Source organism: Homo sapiens, chromosome 2, assembly GCF_000001405.40.
Source record: "Homo sapiens chromosome 2, GRCh38.p14 Primary Assembly".
NCBI classification, from domain to species: domain Eukaryota; kingdom Metazoa; phylum Chordata; class Mammalia; order Primates; family Hominidae; genus Homo; species Homo sapiens.
In genome coordinates, this window is record NC_000002.12 from 229,406,645 (window position 1) to 229,423,689 (window position 17,045).

Sequence of the window (17,045 nt, forward strand, 5' to 3'; positions counted from 1 at the left end):
GATTCACAAAGTCCTTGAAGCTCATAAGGGGGTGACTTTGAAGAAGGACCCCAAGTTAGGCTGGAACCCCCAATCTAGGAGTGGCTCCTCCTGTTCGGTGTTCAGTGGCCACCAAGATTTCTGGAGAAGCCAGTCCTGCCCCGCCAATCTCGCCTCCCATCCCACTCTCCCTTGACACTTTTATATCTTGCAATAAAAATAAATATGGCAGCTGAAAGCAGCATCTACAGAAGACACACCTCTTCCTTCTTTCCATCTTCTGACTTTTATTAACCCATCACCTTTCTCAAGTGTTCATGTAATGGCTCATTTCTCATGTTTCATAGTCCTAGCCTGGGAAAGGTACAGTAATGATAGTCTTTGTAAGTCTAGACGCCAAACAACCATCTCAGAAAAGCCTCATTTAATGAGGCTCACACAATGGGTTGTTTTAAAATAGATCTTCATCCAAGCCATGCCTCCTTACATTTTGTAATGGTGTTTATATTTTGCAATATTTTATTCATGATGGATTTGGGTTTTTTTAACATCTGCAATCTCGGGCACTTTGTGGTAAATTTGAAAACTCAGTCCCTGGAATCACTTGCCTGTAAACCCGGGTGCACAGATGCACGTGCCATTCAGGCCGTCGCTGTCACAGGTGGCTCCGTTCAGACAGCTGACGTTAGCGCAGGGATCCTTGTACAATTCACAGTGTGTTCCTGCAGAGAAACAAGCAAAACAGGATGACTCATCCAGGACTCTCTGGCTCCCATGGCCTCTGAAAGCAAAGTCGGAACTCTCTGGAACAATGCGAGGGAGATTCCCAGCGTGGGTGTGTGTGGGTGAGTGTATACACACGTGCCCACTCATGATTTTAGATTGTTGTAAAAACTTGCCTTATGAGAAAGTAACACATTCGATCACTGTCCATAGGTCCCACCATAGTCTTTTATCTGTACTTTCTCTGCCTACGTGTCCCAAAGCCTGGGGAACAGAAAGTTAAAAGCCTGAAAGATAAATTAATCAATAGCAAATGCTTTATAAGTCTCCAAAAGAAACAGAAAATATCTAGATGGCCTTGAGAAAATATAATATTAGCAACCTGAAAGTGAAGATTTGGAATCAGATATTTAAGTGAGTCCCAGTTCTACTTTGAAGAACTGCAGGGGAGAGGGGAAGCCGTGTGATACTTAGACTTCATTCTCAAAGACATCACTGCATGCTTTATGTCTAATTTATTCCTCACAACAACACTATGAGACAATTATCCTTATTCCTCCATTTTACAGATGAGGAAACTGAGGAAAGAGTCGAAGATCACAAGCCTGGTAAGAAAGGAGCTGGGATTTGAAGCTGCCCGTAATCCCATCCCAGAGTCTGTGTTTGCTAAGTAGGCTGTTGAGAGTGACCCTGAATTGACTGTGGAAATATACAAAACTCTATGGAGCTCAGCACTCGTTTAACAAAGAAGAGGCATTTTTTAAAAAATCTGTAAAGTAAAACAGACAGCTTCTCATTTACTTTTTTTAAAAAAAAAAGACTGTGTGTGCATGTATGTACGCAAATGCCTGAAGTGGGACTGGATTACTTCCAGGAGACTTGATTACTTTGATTTTCACATCTGTGTATTTCTACATTACTGGCACCTTTTTTACAAGTATCTATTTTTTTATAATTTTATTAAAAACTTTAAAAATCTAATGCTATTTGAAAGGTGGGATATCTGCTGATGTTACACTGGATGCCAAGATGGATGAATAGATTAGTGTCTCTCTCTCTCTCCTCCTCCTGCCCCTCCTCCCTCTCTCCCTTCCCCTATCCCCACCCTTTGGAGAGAAAGATAAATTACATTCTACCTTGCCTAAGAACGTACATAATGATATGCCCACACTTCCCAACAGCCTCAAGAAAAATATGCATAAAGCAAATAGTAACTGAATGGTATTTACTTAATTTTCTCTGCACTTCATTACTTAGCTCATGTTGTGCAAGGGACTGCCACACCCAATGACTCATCCTTTAGGCACTGAAATCATCCTTGCTGGGCTTTTCCCTTATTTATTTCTCAATGCCTTAAGAATAGGGCTCAGGAAGGAGGAAAGGAAGTAAGAGAAAATAGAAATGGAACTTCCTATCTATATTCACACTAATGACTTATTTGAGCCAGGTAAAGCTCAAATTTTAGAATAAATGACCTGTAATTCTTTTTCATCCTTTGCCCCTCCTAGCCAAGCCATCAACAATATTCTGTCAGGTATTTTTCTGAAGTGTCTTTCAGATCTTTGCCTTTCTTTCCTTCCTGAGACCACCCCTGTGATCCCACTGCCTCGTGCCTGGTGGGATACAGCATCCCGCAGCCATGTCTTAGTTTCCTCTGTCTCCAGGGACTTGAACGAGCCTCCTCAACTTCCTTCATCCCTAACCCAGGTTGCATGGTAACATAAAAGATCAAAATAATGTTAAGATTAGCATAAATCTGGTCATTCTTCTTCATTTGGGTGTGTACAGCCTCTTCTCCCAGGAGTCTCTTATTTTTACTTTCCTACTGATACACAAGTAGCCTGGGCTCAATTGAAAGAATAAAAAGCAGAAGAGTCTTTTCTGCTTTAAAATGTTTATTGCAACACAAAGACTCACATATTTACAAGTTCCCACTGGGCTGATCAATGGGAGCCAAGTGACAAAAAAGACTTTTGGTTGTAGTGGGAAATACGGCCACCACCAAAGTTCAGAGGTGCCTGAAGCCTAGAAAACATTTCCATTAGACCTGAAGTCAAAGAAATCAAATGATTGTCACTGAGTTTCTAGTAATACATTAACATCACTAACATATTAGCACCCAAACTACCACATTTTAAAAACCAGACTGAAAAGCAAATTCTAGGCCAAATATTTAAGCATCTTACCTTTTATTTAAAGTCTTCAACAAAATAAGACTTGATGAAAACACCCAAGATAATAAGCAATTTCAATCTTTTGGGTGTTTGGGGTTTTTGTTTGGATAGATGGCTCTTTTTTGGAGGGCGGGGAGACAATACTTTTTTCCCTTGTTAATTTTCTTTTTCAAATGGTGAGACATTTGGTCCCTTGAGCATCTATTGAGAGTTCTCTGGCAGCAAGACTGGACAAAAGCTAATCTTCACAGAAACCTGATTACGGACAAGCAAGATGGTGTTAAAAGTCCCTGGAGAGCACTTTGGTGACTCACATTTCTATATCGTAAACCTTGCTAATCCCTATATAAAATATATTTGTCATATTGCTCAGCTTGTCATTAGAACTGAACAACTCTGAGCTAAAAACTTTAAACACGGAGAATAGACAATCATGGACACTACTGATGTGCCAAGTTGTATCCACTCAAACCCTCCTCCTCTGGAGGTCCCTAGGCCCCCTCTTCCTGCCCTCCTCACCACTCCCATTCCCAGAAAACATCAAGTCTTGGGCATCCTGTTTCCTCTGAGGAGTCACCTTCTTTCACACCCTTCCCCCAACCTGATCTTCGCATATTTAACTAATCTCTCAATTCCCAATCCAAACACCCTCTCTCTGCAAAGCTGAACCTTGATTTTCTCAACACAGACCACATTCTTCCACCACTGTGCCTTGAGAGCATGCCGGGACTGTCATTGTCACGGAGTTCACTGTGCCAAATCATAACTTATCTGCTCTCCTGTCTGATTCTCCCACAAATCTCTGAAGTCCTGTAGAGCAGAGGCCGTATCATAATGCGTGGAAGAAATTATGGACCTAACACCGGAATCCTATCCTTTCAAGAGGGGCGACAGCCAGTGTACTTTGGCTGACACACAGGTGAGGCTGCCAGAGGAGAGATTCCAAATTCCAAATCTGCCTCAAAAACACCCTATTTTGTCAGAGAAAACCAGGTCCACACTTCAAACTAAGTCTGTGGAATGACACATGCATCACCCATTGGCAGAAGACACAGCACGTACTATTACAAAGCTGATGTTTAGTCTCAAGCAAAAATAAACTGTAATTCAGTCAAAACTAATAAAAATTCATACTTTTCGTATTAAGGGATGGAGAAGAAATGTTTCTAAAAAGACTTTGATTCCAACAGCATTCTTTACAGAAGTTAATTTTAGAATTGAAATAAGCTAGAATTCAAAAAGCAGTACACCAATTATAAGTCTTTGTTGTTGTAACAAATTTAGTTACAATTAATATTTGAAAAATGAAAATCAATATTTTATCTCCAAGAAACGAAGCCAGTAAAGAAGTGTTATTACACTTAATATTTACTTTAAGACATCGTCTCATTTCATCCAAACTTACTTCCTCTATGAAAACTTTTTCCAGTATTTCAATCTTTATAGATCTCAACATTTTCTAAACCATCTCAGAAATTACAATTGACATCTCAGCCTTAGCCTCATTATTCCTGTGTGTGTCACTCAGTCTGCTCGTCTGGTTAAATAACAGCCCAAAGAAGGAAGAAACTCTGACTTATCCTTTTTGTATTTATCACAGTACTTGAAAGGACTAGGTGCACAAAATAACCAGAAATTCTTGTTCCCTGGCTAAGTGGAATCTAGCAAAGGCAATAACTTTATCCAACAAAGAAGGAGTTCTCTTCCTTCCCATTAAAATTTCTGTAGCCTTTAAAAATAAATAAGTAGGTACAGGCCAGGCAGAGTAGCTCACGCCGGTAATCCCAGCACTTTGGGAGGCCAACGCGGGCAGATCACTTGAGGTCAGGAGTTCGAGACCAGCCTGGCCAACATGGTGAAACCCCGTCTCTACTAAAAATACAAAAATTAGCCGGGCATGGTGGCACACACCTGTAATCCCAGCTACTCAGGAGGCCGAGACAGGAGGATTGCTTGAACCAGGGAGACAGAAGTTGCAGTGAGCCAAGATAGCGCCATTGCACTCCAGCCTGGGTGACAGAGCAAGACTCTGTTTCAAAAAAAAAAGTAGGTACAATGTACAATGTAATTAAATCTATAATCCAGTGATCTCATTTCTGAGACTCTATCCCTAGAAAGAAATCTGGAAAGTAGGAAAACAATGTAAAGATATTAATTCCAGAAATATTTGTAATAGCCCCACATCACATGTAACAACAAAGCAATGGATAAGTATTCTCTCATGGGAACATTACAAAGCCATTTAAAATAAAACTAGTAAGACTTCCTAGCAATACATAAATCAAACATAATATCCTATTATGAGTGAGCAGAACAATATAAAATTGTAGGTATACTCAATTATTGAACAGTAAAAACATGGATACTAAAATCAGAATGGAAGCAACACAGATTATTATGGCTCATGTTATGTTGTAAAAACATGAGTAATTATGAATTTTCTCTTTTCTTCTAAATATTTATTATTGTTATATTATTTTCAAAATTAAAAATCGAATTTTTTTTCTAAATTGTATCACCAAAAATTTCAAATATATATATTGTTGATCATTTCATTGGATCTTCTAGAAATAAAAATCAATCACTATGGGGCTGTTCCTTAACCTTTTGACAATATGAGGTATGAACACTTAACAAAGTCTTAGACGTTCCGTCACAAACCAGGCTTGAACTAGTTTTGAAGGACACAGCAGTATTTTGGTTTGTCTGAAGACGGGTTACACAGAGGTCCTCCATGAATTTTGCTTTCTAACAATTCCATAATCTACAGTGAAGACTTACATTCCATGAAAATGTTTAAGTTGGTTTCCTTTACTTAATTCATGTGTTAAACAGTAGTTCTAACTCAAGTAAAGGTAGCCATTGAGCATTTGTTCTGTGCGAGCCACCATAGTAAGAGCTGTAGAGAATTTAAAAAGAAAAAGAGCCTATGTAGTCACTGTCTTTCCAGAGCTTATGATTTAGTATAGGGAAGAAGAAAGTCTGAAACCAAAAAGAATTTAATACAAGGCTAAACATAATTGTCATGGCAAATAGAAAGAAAATAGAGAGTTAAAGGAGGAAGAAGCCACATCTCTTTGGGGGTCAACATTTCAGACAGTGGATACAGCCATAGGAGTGGATGAAAGCAAAGAGGAGGGAGAGAGAAAGGGGCCTGGAGACCCACGTCATTCATGGCATCTGGGAGACCAAGACTTAGTGAGGGCAGAGAGGAGAACCCCGTCAGGAATGAAGTTGCAGAAGACACAGCAAGGCGACGTGCAAGAGGGACCCCAGGGCTCAGTGGGGCAAAGGGACAGGAACGCTGGCTGAGTCAGAAGTGGAAGGGGAGGCTTCATAGATTTCACCAAATGACTTCAATTACTTCACCATGAATTTTCCTGAAACCTCTTTTAGTGGAATGATGTGGACAAGGGCCAAGAGCCATGGTTGAAAAAGCAAAAGGGAAGAAAGGGACTTTAAGCACAGCAGGGACACAAAAAGTCAAAGAAGAGGTTTTTAAAATTATTATTTATATGGAATTTACTTAGAAGTCTAAGAACTTTTTTTTTCTTTAGCAGCCCAGTTTTTCTAGAAGGGCTTATTTGAAAAGAATTCCCTTCTCATTCCTAGCAATTCCTCTCTAAGAGTCTTACATTATTATTATAGACAATGGTTTCTGGGCCATTCTTCAGTTTTGGTTATCTGTCCATTCTTGCTAGGGTAATATATGAATGTAACAATAATTGCAGCATTATAGTGGGTTTTTCAACATCTGGCAGAAGTTCCCCCTCATTGCTTTTCTTTTTCTTTTTCTTCTTCTTTTTTTTTTTTTTTTTTTTTGACGGAGTCTCGCTCTGTCACCCAGGCTGGAATGCAATGGCACGATCTCAGCTCACTGCAATCTCCGCCTCCCGGGTTCAAGTGATTCTCCTGCCTCAGCCCCCTGAGTAGCTGGGACTACAGGCATGTGCCACAGCGCCTGGCTAATTTTTGTATTTTTAGTAGAGATGGGGTTTCACCATGTTAGCCAGGCTGGTCTCGAACTCCTGACCTCATTATCTGCCGGCCTCAGCCTCCCAAAGTGCTAGGATTACAGGTGTGAGCCACCGCCCCCGGCCTTTTTTCCTTTTTCAAAATGTTCTTAGCTATATATTTGGCTGACTCCCTATTGCACTCATTCTTTTTAGGAGGATAAATATATATACATAGAGAGGGTGTTATATATATAGTGTTATATATAGTTATATTATATATATCCTCCTAAAAATATAAAAACTATATATATAGTTTAAAAAATATCAATATTAAGCAGTAAAAATTACCACTTAAAAAGTATATATATAAAGTAAAAAGTTAAAGCTTAACTTTATCCCTAAAATACTACCTATCTAAGTTCTAACTCCAGGTAAGTACTAGTTAGGAATTTAAACCCATCCATCTGACAGTTTCCTGAATGTATACAGACATACGATATGTAAATATATATTGGCAAAAATATTTCCAAAAGGGGGAAAATGTCCATCCCCCCACGGAGAGAAAAGCACAGGATCATGTGGCCTCTCACTTCCCCTCACTCTTCCTCTGGGTGGAAGAGCATGATTAGATCCTCCTGTCTCTCCTTTAATTCCTTCTACCTACCCTCCCCATGTCCCCACCACTCTTAGTTTAGAAGTTCTACCATTTACTGCTACATTACTAGGGTTTACCTCCCTGTTTTCAGCAGCCTTATTTAAACCTAAACCTAAAAGTCTTTATAAATATACTAAAATTAAATAAACACTTTATCTGCCCATTGGATTTGTCACCCAGGCTGGAGTGCAGTGGTGTGATCTCAGCTCACTGCAACGTCTACCTCCCAGGTTCAAGCAGTTCCCGTGCCTCAGCCTCCTGAGTAGCTGAGATTACAGGCACCCGCCACCACACCTGGCTAATTTTCGTATTTTTAGTAGAGACGGGATTTCACTGTCTGGTCTTGAACTCCTGACTTCAGGTGATCTGCCCACTGCAGCTTCCCAAAGTGTTGGGATTACAGGTGCGAGCCACCACACCAAGCCAGGAGTGAAATGTTTAACACACTTGTATGCCTTTCAGTCTTTCCTATCCTCACCCCCTTCAACACATGGCTTTGTTTTAAATAATATGAAACCACTTTACTTGTTGAAATTTTTCCTTAAGAGCAAGAGTGGTGGACACAGCCTAGAGTGACCCCTAGGGAGTCACACCCTTGTGTAATTCCCTCCCTTTGAGTGTGAGCTTCCAACCAAGAGCAAATGGCAGTTAAGACATTTTGAAGATGCAATTAAGGTCCCTAATCAGTTGACTTTGAGTTCCTCCCAGGTGGGCCTGGCCTAACCAGGTGAGACCTTTAAGAGGGTCCAGGCTGGGTGCAGTGGCTCATGTCTGCAATCCCAGCACTTCGGGAGGCCAAGACAGGTGGATCACCTGAGGTCGGGAGTTCAAGACCAGCCTGACCAACATGGAGAAACTTTGTCTCTACTAAAAATCCAAAATCAGCTGGGCATGGTGGTGAATGCCTGTAATCCCAGCTACTCAGGAGGCTGAGGCAGGAGAATCGCTTGAACCCAGGAGGTGGAGGTTGGTGTGAGCCGAGATCACACCATTGCACTCCAGCCTGGGCAATGAGAGTGAAACTCCATCACAAAAAAAAAAAGTCCAGGCCTTCCCGGAAGTTCAAGACTGGAAGCAGTGGGGTCTCTGTCATAGTTGCTAGCTTTCAAAGAGCAAGCTGTCACAAATCCTACAGCCACGAGGATATAAGTTCTGCCAATAACCTAAGGGGACTTGGAAGCTGATTTCTCACTATTCAAGCCTCAGATGAGAGCTCAGTCAGTCAATACCTGGCTTTCACCCTTGTGAGCCCCTGAGCTGGGAATTGACTAAGCCACACCTGGACCTAGGAAACTGTTAGGTAATAAAAGCATGTTGTTTAAGCCAGTACCGGGTACTGATTTGTTATGCAGCAATAGATAGCTGATACAGAAGGCGGATCTACTTTTTTCAAGAGACTTTCCTTCACCATTATATTACCATTCACAATCACATAAATATCAAATATTTAGATTTATGCCTGCATTTAAAGGCATACATCTCTTCCTTCCATTCTCCATCTTCCCCTATCTGGATATCTTTGTTTTGATTTAGTTCCTATTTGGTGGCGATGCTTATTAAGGTACTTATCTTAGGGTATAGGGTGCTATATTTTCTGTATCCTTGAATGTATGGCAATGTCTTTCTTTTGCCCTCAAATATAAACAACAAACTCCTAGTCCTTTTCATTTAAAAGTCTGAAACGCTGCTCTGCTATTCTTTACCTCATGATAGAGAGGGGCAGTACAATGCCGATTTGATTCTCTTTCTTCTGTATGTAACCTGTGATCCCTTCGAAGAATCTTGTAAAAAATTCTCTTTATCCTTGCAGTTACAAATTTTACCAGGAAATCTCAAATTGTGTATCATCTCCTTCATTAATCCCATTACTGCCCTGTGAGCCCATTCTATTTGAAAATAAGACTTTCTTCACCTCACAGACACCTCCTTCTAGGAGTTAGTTAATTCTGCTTCTATTTCCACATGCTCCTTCTTCTGGAGCACCCATCGCTCAGGCAGAAGCAGATCTCTCAAATCTTTTCTCCATGTTTCCTGTCTTTTCACTCGTGGTTTCCACTTCCTCATATTTTGATTCTCTCATGCACTAGTTCCTCCTTTTTATTCAGATCCAAATTCAATTTTGAGTAGTGTACATTACTTTCTTCACTTCCTTTCTTGAGTGTTTAGAGCTGTTGTTGCAATTTTTGTTTTTATTTCCCAAAACTTTTCTCCCTCTCTGAGTTGCTGGCGTGGGCTAGTGTACTGGCCAGGCTAGTGGGTGGAAATCTTGGCAGAGACAGACAACATAACACATTCCCCTTCAGGGATGGATGGGCAGCCAATGGGGCCCTGTGTACTAAGGCATGAGGCAGAGAGAGGCCTCCCAGTTTGGTGTTCTCAAGGCCACAAAAAATGGGGGGGCCAGCTCAGCCTACTGTGCAATTTCCTTAGACAGCAGCCCGTAGCCATGAGATCAGTACACCCCTCTGCCTCCTAGGGTCAGACGCAGCACAATTACAGCATGCACTTCCTCTCTATAAGCTGAAGGATTTTTTTGGACTAATCTGTTCATTGAGTCATCAGTTCTCTCTGGAGCCCTCATCCCCTGTTCTTGTGGTTAAGCAAAGGCTCCCAGCACACATACCCTTTCTTGAGACCCCAAATCTTCAGATGACCCCATTCAGGGTCATCTACCTTATTGAGCCATCCCTAGCAGAGAGTCAGGAGGGATCAGAGATATTGAATGTCAATGTGAGCTGCCATCTTCCTAGAATCTTCATTTGTTCAGAGTAAGAAATCCATGAAAATATTTATACACATGGAAAGGAGCAAGGGGAAAGAAGGAGGTTGAAGATATGTAGAGAGAAAGGTAATAGATAGATAGACTCAGAACTGAGAAGCCTGAGAATGAAGCCAGCACATCTGCTGTTGTGTCCTGGTAGATGTTAGTGGAGTTTGGTTCTAACCGAACGTCATACTCCAACAGAAGCATCAGATCTGTGGAACACAAAGTCAAGACCTGGCCCAGCTTCAGCCCTCTTATCCAGGAGCTTAATCAAGTTTTCAGTGTAGCCTACAAGGCCATGAGACTTGCCAAAAAGGTTACTAAATAAAGGTAGGTTCATCCAAAGAGAAGCAACGGTGAGGGCAATGCAAGGTCTCCAGCCAGGTGGATGGCATCAAGCAAGCAGCAATAGGAGCAAGCGGTTGAATGAAATGGCTATAAATAGAGCCCACAAACGCATTCCAAAATCTAAACCCGGCCCCGTAGTTATGGCTTAGAGAAATGTGTGCAACAGCTGATAAATAGGTTCTCCTGGAACAGGGCCGTCTGAGGATATCTGGGCTCCAGGAAGCCTTGCCATCCACAAAACGTGGCCAGAGGCCAGTGAAGATGCTGGGAAAGGGCTTTAGGAACCACGCTGACCAGGCTTATAGGGGAAGAGCATTACTGTCCACCTCATAGGGTTCTCGGGGGGATTTAGTGAGCTATGCACATTAGGGGTTAGAACGGGGTCCACACATTGGAAACACTCTGTCAATGTCGCCTGTTTTTAATAAGCATTAACTTACTTGCTGATACATGGGACTCCGCCTGCCTCCTCCCCAAGAAAGCACAGCATTCTATCTCTGCATAAGAAGCTTTATAGGACGGCATCCTTCCTCTTCCACAGTTTTCACAGCCATGGTCTCTAACCTATGTCTGACAGTCCATCTTAATATTACTTTTTGTTTTCAGCTTTTTACACATTCAATAAAAAAGAAAGCGAGGATCCACAAAGAACAGGACAGGAAAGGGGGTTGTTTCTCAATCTATCAGGAAGAAACCAGAGACTTGCAAATTGGTCTCCTTGGACCGATTAATCATGCCAGCTTCAGCATTTGATTGTTATTCTGAACAATTCATGGTCCAATTAGAGGTTTATGCATTTACACTGAGAAATACATGACGTCATTTAGAGCCATTCTGGCACAGGAAGGCCAGGCGGCCTCTCACCTTTGTATTCTGCCAGGCACACACACTCATAGCCATTAACGAGGTCCCTGCAGGTGGCTGCATTCAGGCATGGAGCGGAGAGGCACTCATTATATTCCTCCTCACAGTAGAGGCCATGGTAACCTGAGGGACAGAGAGAAAGGCCCACTGTCAAATGCATCCCATTTACAACCCACGCGGGACCAGCCTGCAAGGAAGGCAGTTGGGGGTATTCATTAGAAAGTATGGTATAAACAGATGGGATTTCAGGAGCTAGATCTCTTGGGGTAAAGTTGAAAGGTGGATTTGGGGGAAGGCTATGAAGAAAGCGCCTGTTCTTATCACACTTTTTCATGATCCCAAGTATAAAAGAAGTGATTCCATTTATCCACTGACATTTTCATCATAGTGCATCCAACAGTGCTGGTGTTAGGGTGATCCAGTCACTGAGTGTGTCTGCTGTGGCCATCAGAGATAGTGAATGAGCAGGATTTACGGCAGGGGAGGAGCAAACAGCTCCCTTCAAGAGTGAGAACCTGGCTCGGTGTGGTGGCTCATGCCACCACAAAGTGCTGGTAATCCCAGCACTTTGGGATACCGAGGCAGGTTGATCACTTGAGCTCAGGAGTTCGAGACCAGCCTGGCCAACATGGTGAAACTCTGTCTCTACTAAAAATACAAAAAATTAGCCAGGCGTGGTGGCGGGCGCCTGTAATCCCAGCTACTCAGTAGGCTGAGGCAGGAGAATCACTTGAACCTGGGAGGCAGAGGTTGCAGTGAGCCAAGATTGTACCACTGCACTCCAGCCTGGGCGACAAGAGCAAAACTCCATCTCAAAAAAAAAACAAAAGAAAACAAAAAGTGTGAGAGCCACATTAGAAAAGTATATCTGTATTTCCTTTTCAAGTCAGAAAAGAAAATTAGCTCAAAATGCTTAACTGAAATTATTGATGAAATGTGAGGGTATTTTTGTTGTTATTGCTTGTTTAAAGATATGATTATATAAATTATAATATTTTAAATTGTACCTAAATGTTTAAATTACTAAAGAAATAATCATGTGAGTGAAGAGAAAATAAACCCACAATTTCTTGATAAAGTGGATTTTACCCTCCTATTTGCAAAACAGGTGTTTATTCTAAAGGACAAGAAGACAACATTCTTTGAGATTCATTCATGAGGGTTATGCTGTTTTCAACTTTTGAAAACATGTGTTACTGCCAATTTGCAGTGAAACCAGGCCATTTTTGTCCAGCCCTGTCCAAACAATGAAAAACATGTGAGTGTTTTCAAAAGTCACACTGACTGTGTTCGTTCTGAATTCAGATAAGCAGAAAAAATAAGCCCTTATCCAAGTAGGAATTAGAACTACTAGCTTTTCCCTAGCCTTTCCAGCTCACAACCAACTCTCAAACTCAGAAAGTCCCATTAGAACATGCTAATATGTTGAACTGCTTTGTTTCTTGTGCCTATCATAAAAGTAGGTTAAGCTCATATTTGCATTATTAACAGAGCACTTTTCAAATATGTTGCCATTTCAGTTGTTTTTGAACAGCTTTCCAAATTTAGGTTGTGATAATGGCCCCTTTGAGGAGCCCTTGACCTACCTAAGACAAATATACTATAGTTTTCAATTCTTCTGAAAAGTAGTATGTTACCCTACTTTTTGTAACTTTAGGGAAATATTTCTATTACCCTTCATTAGATTATTTTCATCATGTAGATAAGAGGTACTCAACTAGCAGCAATTTTGTCCCCCAAAGGACATTTGAAAATGTTTGGAGACATTTTTCGTTGTCACAACTGGAGGCAGGGGGAGGGGTTGCTGCTGGCATCTAGTAGGCAGAGTCAAGAGTGCTGCTAAGCATCCTACAGTTCTACAGGAGGCTGCGCAGGACAGCCTCTCACAACAAGACTATCCAGAAAAAAATAACAATACAGCCAGGTTGAGAAACTCTGTTCTAGACCAGGGGTCAGCAAACTATGGCCCACAGATGAAATCTATCCCAGCCTGTTTTTGCAAATAAAGTTTTATTGGGACACAGCCACAGTCATGCATTTACATATTGTCTATGGCCGTTTTAACACTACAACAGAGGACTGAGTGGTTGCAACAGAGACCATATGGCCTGCAAAGCCTAAATATTTACTGTCTGGCCCTTTGCGCAGAACAAGTTTGCTGATTCTTGATTTAGATTCAATGAAAGATCTTTCTTTTAACAAGAGTTTTGGATATTAACCCCTTATCAAATGTATTGTTTGCAAATATTTTCTGCCATTCCATAGGTCACCTTTTCATGCTGTTGATTGTTCCTTTGTTATGCAGAACCTTTTAAGTTTGAAGCACCACTTGTATATTTGTGCTTTTGTTGCCTGTACCTCGGATATCATATCCAAGAAGTCATTCCTAAGGCCAATGTTATGAAGTTTTTCCCCTACGTTTTCTTCTAGAAGTTTTATACTTCCAGGCCTTACATCTAAGCTTTTAGTCCATTTTGAGTTGGCAGTTATGTAAGGTACAAAATAATACAAATGGCCAACAGGCATATGAAAATAACATCACTAATCAACATCACTAAAAATCAGGGAAATGCAAATTAAAATCATAACAAAATATCACTTCACACCCATTAGGATGGCCATTATAAAAAACAAAACAAAACAAACAAAAACAGAAAATAACAAGTGTTGGGGCAGATTTGAAGAAATTGGAACCTTTGTGCACTGTTGGTAGGAAGGTAAAATGGTACAGCTGCTATGAAAAACTACAGAGGTTCCTCAAAAAATAAAAAATAGAACCACCACATGATCCAGCAATTCCATTGCTGGGTACTCAACCAAAAGAATCGAAAACAGGATCTGGAGAAGGTAATAGCACTCTCATGTTCATTGCAGCATTATTCACAATAACCAAGAAGTACAAACAACTTGATGTCCATTGACAGAAGAACGGACAGGTCAAGCAAAAGTGGTACATAATACAATGGAATATTATTCAGCCTTAAAAAGGAAGAAAATCTTGTCATGTGCTACAATATGGATGAACCTTCAGGACATTACATTACATGAAATAAGCCAGTCACAGAAGGACAAATACTGTATGGTTCCACCTATATGATGTATTTTTAAAATAGTCAAACTCACAGAAGCAGAAAGTAGAATGATGATGATTGCCAGGGTCTGCGGAAGGGGAAAAATGGAGAGCTGCTATTTAACTATGCAAGATGTTATGCAAGATGAATAAGTTCCAGATATCTGCTGGAAAACAGTGTGTGTATGGTAAATAATACTGTAATGTATACTTAAACATTTGTTAAGAAGGTACATTTAATGCTGTGTTTTTTTACCACTATATATATAAATATATATGTATTATTAAATATACATATTTTAACCACTATTATATACAGATATATATTTTACCACTATCTGTATATCTATATCTATATCTCTATATCTATATTTTACCTACTATATATATAGTGGGTAAAAAATACACAACATAAAAAATATATATAGTGGTAAAAAACATACAACATGAAATATATATATATATATAGAGAGAGAGAGAGAGAGAAAGTGGGAGAGAGAGTAAAAATATATACATATATATCCATGTATATGTAAAGAGTTAAGTGTCTTTTGCTTCTCCTAATATGAGAAGCTTTTTGAGGTCATTGTGGAGTACAATCACCAGCAGCACCTTTTCAATTGCATTTGCCCTCCTAGGAGATCTTTTAACAATCAACATGGAAGGGTAATATATAACCATAACCCTGCATGCATCTTTGACCTCTGAATTGAGGTGGCATTTAAATAGACAAAAATCAAACAAGCAAGTTTTGCAAGATCATCTTTAATTGTTTCCATTTTTGAAAACAGTATCATTATCTTTTTATACTAGCAATATGAAAAGCAAATGAGGAAGTTATTTTACAGAGATAATTAAGCTGGTGATGTTTTTCTTCCTTGGGGGGGAAAAAAGATAAAGTTTTCATATTCTAAAACCGTTTCTTCAGAGACGGTAACATTTAAATGTCTTCATGGAAATGTCAAGGCACCCTTTATACTCAGTGCCAAGCAGCCTCAATCGGACGATTTGAATAAAAAGGCACTCCTTCCAAAAGAGAGGGCTTCTGTGAAAATGAGGCTATCACCCCCTGCTGATAATTAATTCAGGCAAACAAATTAGCTCAGGGCAGTATGCCCAGTGTCTGAAAAAAAATTAGGCTAATCCAAAGATTTTTTAAAAATAAAATAAACAATCAAAGGGTGGGATCAGAGTGGCCCTTTCCAAGGCACTGATCTTTATCAGCACTGCTCCCATCTTTGCATGATTTGCTCCCGAATAATCAGTTCCCCTTATTTCTTTCGGATTGACGGGGCACAGCAACCAACCAGATGGGGGGAGTGAGAAAGAGCGGTGGAGATGGCTGCCATGTCTAGCTGAGTGAGCGGATGAAGTCATTATCACCAAGAGGTACCACCAAAGGAAAAACAGACTTAGAGGAGGAAAAACAGGCTTAGAAGAAGACCAGTTTAACTTTGGACGTGTTTAGATTGGGCACACTTGGGCAGGTCCAAGTGGCAGTTGGAAGTATGCGTGTAAATGGCTTAGAAAGAGCACTTTGGGAATTAGTTGCCTGGAAGTGGTTTTGAAATTTTCATTAAAGAAGAAAATGGAAGGGAAAGAAGAAAATGGAAGGGAAAAAAGAAGGGGTCAAGGTCAGACCACATGGGCAGGTGGAGAACAAAGAGCCAGATCAAGACACTGGACAAGGATTGGGCAAAAAGGAGGAGAAAAGCCCAAGGCATGCAGTGCCATGGAAGCCAGAGGATGAAAGGATATCAAGGAAGGTGGGTTAGCAGTGTCAGAGGCTCTAATGAGCAAGAATGACCACTGGACTAGAAAATGAGGAGGTCACTGAACACCCTCAAAACCATGGTTCTTAATGGTGGCTGTGCTAGCCCTTAGATGGTGTTTAGAGAAAATTAGGGGTGGGAGTGATCCTTATGCAATGATTGGAGGGTTCTACTGGAATTTAGGAGGGTGGGAGAGGGCAAAGTTATTAAATATTGCAATGCCCTGGATATTCCTGCACAACAAAGAATGCCTCCTCATTCTTCACAACAATGGACTGTTCCACTGGACCCTCATGTAGGCAAAAACCCTGTTGATAACTTTCCCAAACTAAAACCTAACTTCTTTATATGTACAGCACCATTTTAAGATATACTGAGTTTTAAGCCGGGCACAGTGGCTCACCCCTGTAATCCCAGCACTTTGGGAGGCTGAGGCAGGTGGATCACTTGAGGTCAGGAGTTCAAGACCAGCCTGATCAACATGGTGAAACCCCATCTCTACTAAAAATACAAAAAGTAGCCAGGCGTGGTGGTGGGCGCCTGTAATCCCAGCTACTTGGGAGGCTGTGACACATGAATCACTTGAACCTGTGAGGCAGAGGTTGCAGTGCACCAAGATTGTGCCACTGCACTCCAGCCTGGGAGATAGAGCGAGACTACATCTCAAAAAAAAAAAAAAAAAGATATACTGAGTTTTCCTAGAATGTACTACTTGATAAACCAAGAGAAGATTGTACCAA

The 17,045-nt window shown here is 40.7% G+C and overlaps 1 protein-coding gene and 2 long non-coding RNA genes across 3 annotated transcripts in view, besides 4 other annotated features; 1 reads left to right on the forward strand and 2 right to left on the reverse strand.

Annotated features, from left to right (window-relative positions):
• The window catches only part of DNER (delta/notch like EGF repeat containing), a 356,927-nt gene that overhangs the window by 49,016 nt on the left and 290,866 nt on the right, over nt 1-17,045 (reverse strand). The window contains exons 9-10 of the mRNA NM_139072.4: nt 11,464-11,586; nt 588-701 (exon numbers count right to left, since the gene is read on the reverse strand). Of these exons, the coding sequence (NP_620711.3) occupies nt 588-701; nt 11,464-11,586 (237 nt within the window). The remainder of the gene's footprint in view (nt 1-587; nt 702-11,463; nt 11,587-17,045) is intronic.
• Nucleotides 419-1,618: an enhancer, noted in NCBI's record as "BRD4-independent group 4 enhancer chr2:230271779-230272978 (GRCh37/hg19 assembly coordinates)". NCBI's record gives its function as "activates an origin of replication core promoter dependent on BRD2, P300/CBP, MED14 and CDK7 cofactors, and independent of BRD4, by STARR-seq in HCT116 cells {active_cell/tissue: HCT116}" and the evidence as "EXISTENCE:reporter gene assay evidence [ECO:0000049][PMID:35650434]".
• Nucleotides 419-2,400: a biological region, named in NCBI's record as "BRD4-independent group 4 enhancer GRCh37_chr2:230271779-230272978".
• LOC124907995 (uncharacterized) lies at nt 706-1,688 on the forward strand. Its single transcript, XR_007088116.1, has 2 exons — nt 706-824; nt 1,272-1,688. It is a non-coding gene; the product is annotated as an uncharacterized LOC124907995 (long non-coding RNA).
• On the reverse strand, nt 713-4,606 carry LOC107985994 (uncharacterized). The gene is made up of 3 exons (XR_001739917.2): nt 3,567-4,606; nt 2,889-3,131; nt 713-966 (listed from the first exon to the last, which is right to left on the reverse strand). It is a non-coding gene; the product is annotated as an uncharacterized LOC107985994 (long non-coding RNA).
• Nucleotides 1,380-2,400: an enhancer, noted in NCBI's record as "amplified fragment containing the chr2:230272729-230273771 (GRCh37) CAGE-defined region". NCBI's record gives its function as "transcribed enhancer in THP-1 monocytes {active_cell/tissue: THP-1}" and the evidence as "EXISTENCE:reporter gene assay evidence [ECO:0000049][PMID:24670763]".
• Nucleotides 6,672-6,890: a silencer, noted in NCBI's record as "fragment chr2:230278032-230278250 (GRCh37/hg19 assembly coordinates)". NCBI's record gives its function as "represses an EF-1alpha promoter that drives an FKBP-Casp9 reporter gene in an ReSE screen in K562 erythroleukemia cells {active_cell/tissue: K562}" and the evidence as "EXISTENCE:reporter gene assay evidence [ECO:0000049][PMID:32094911]".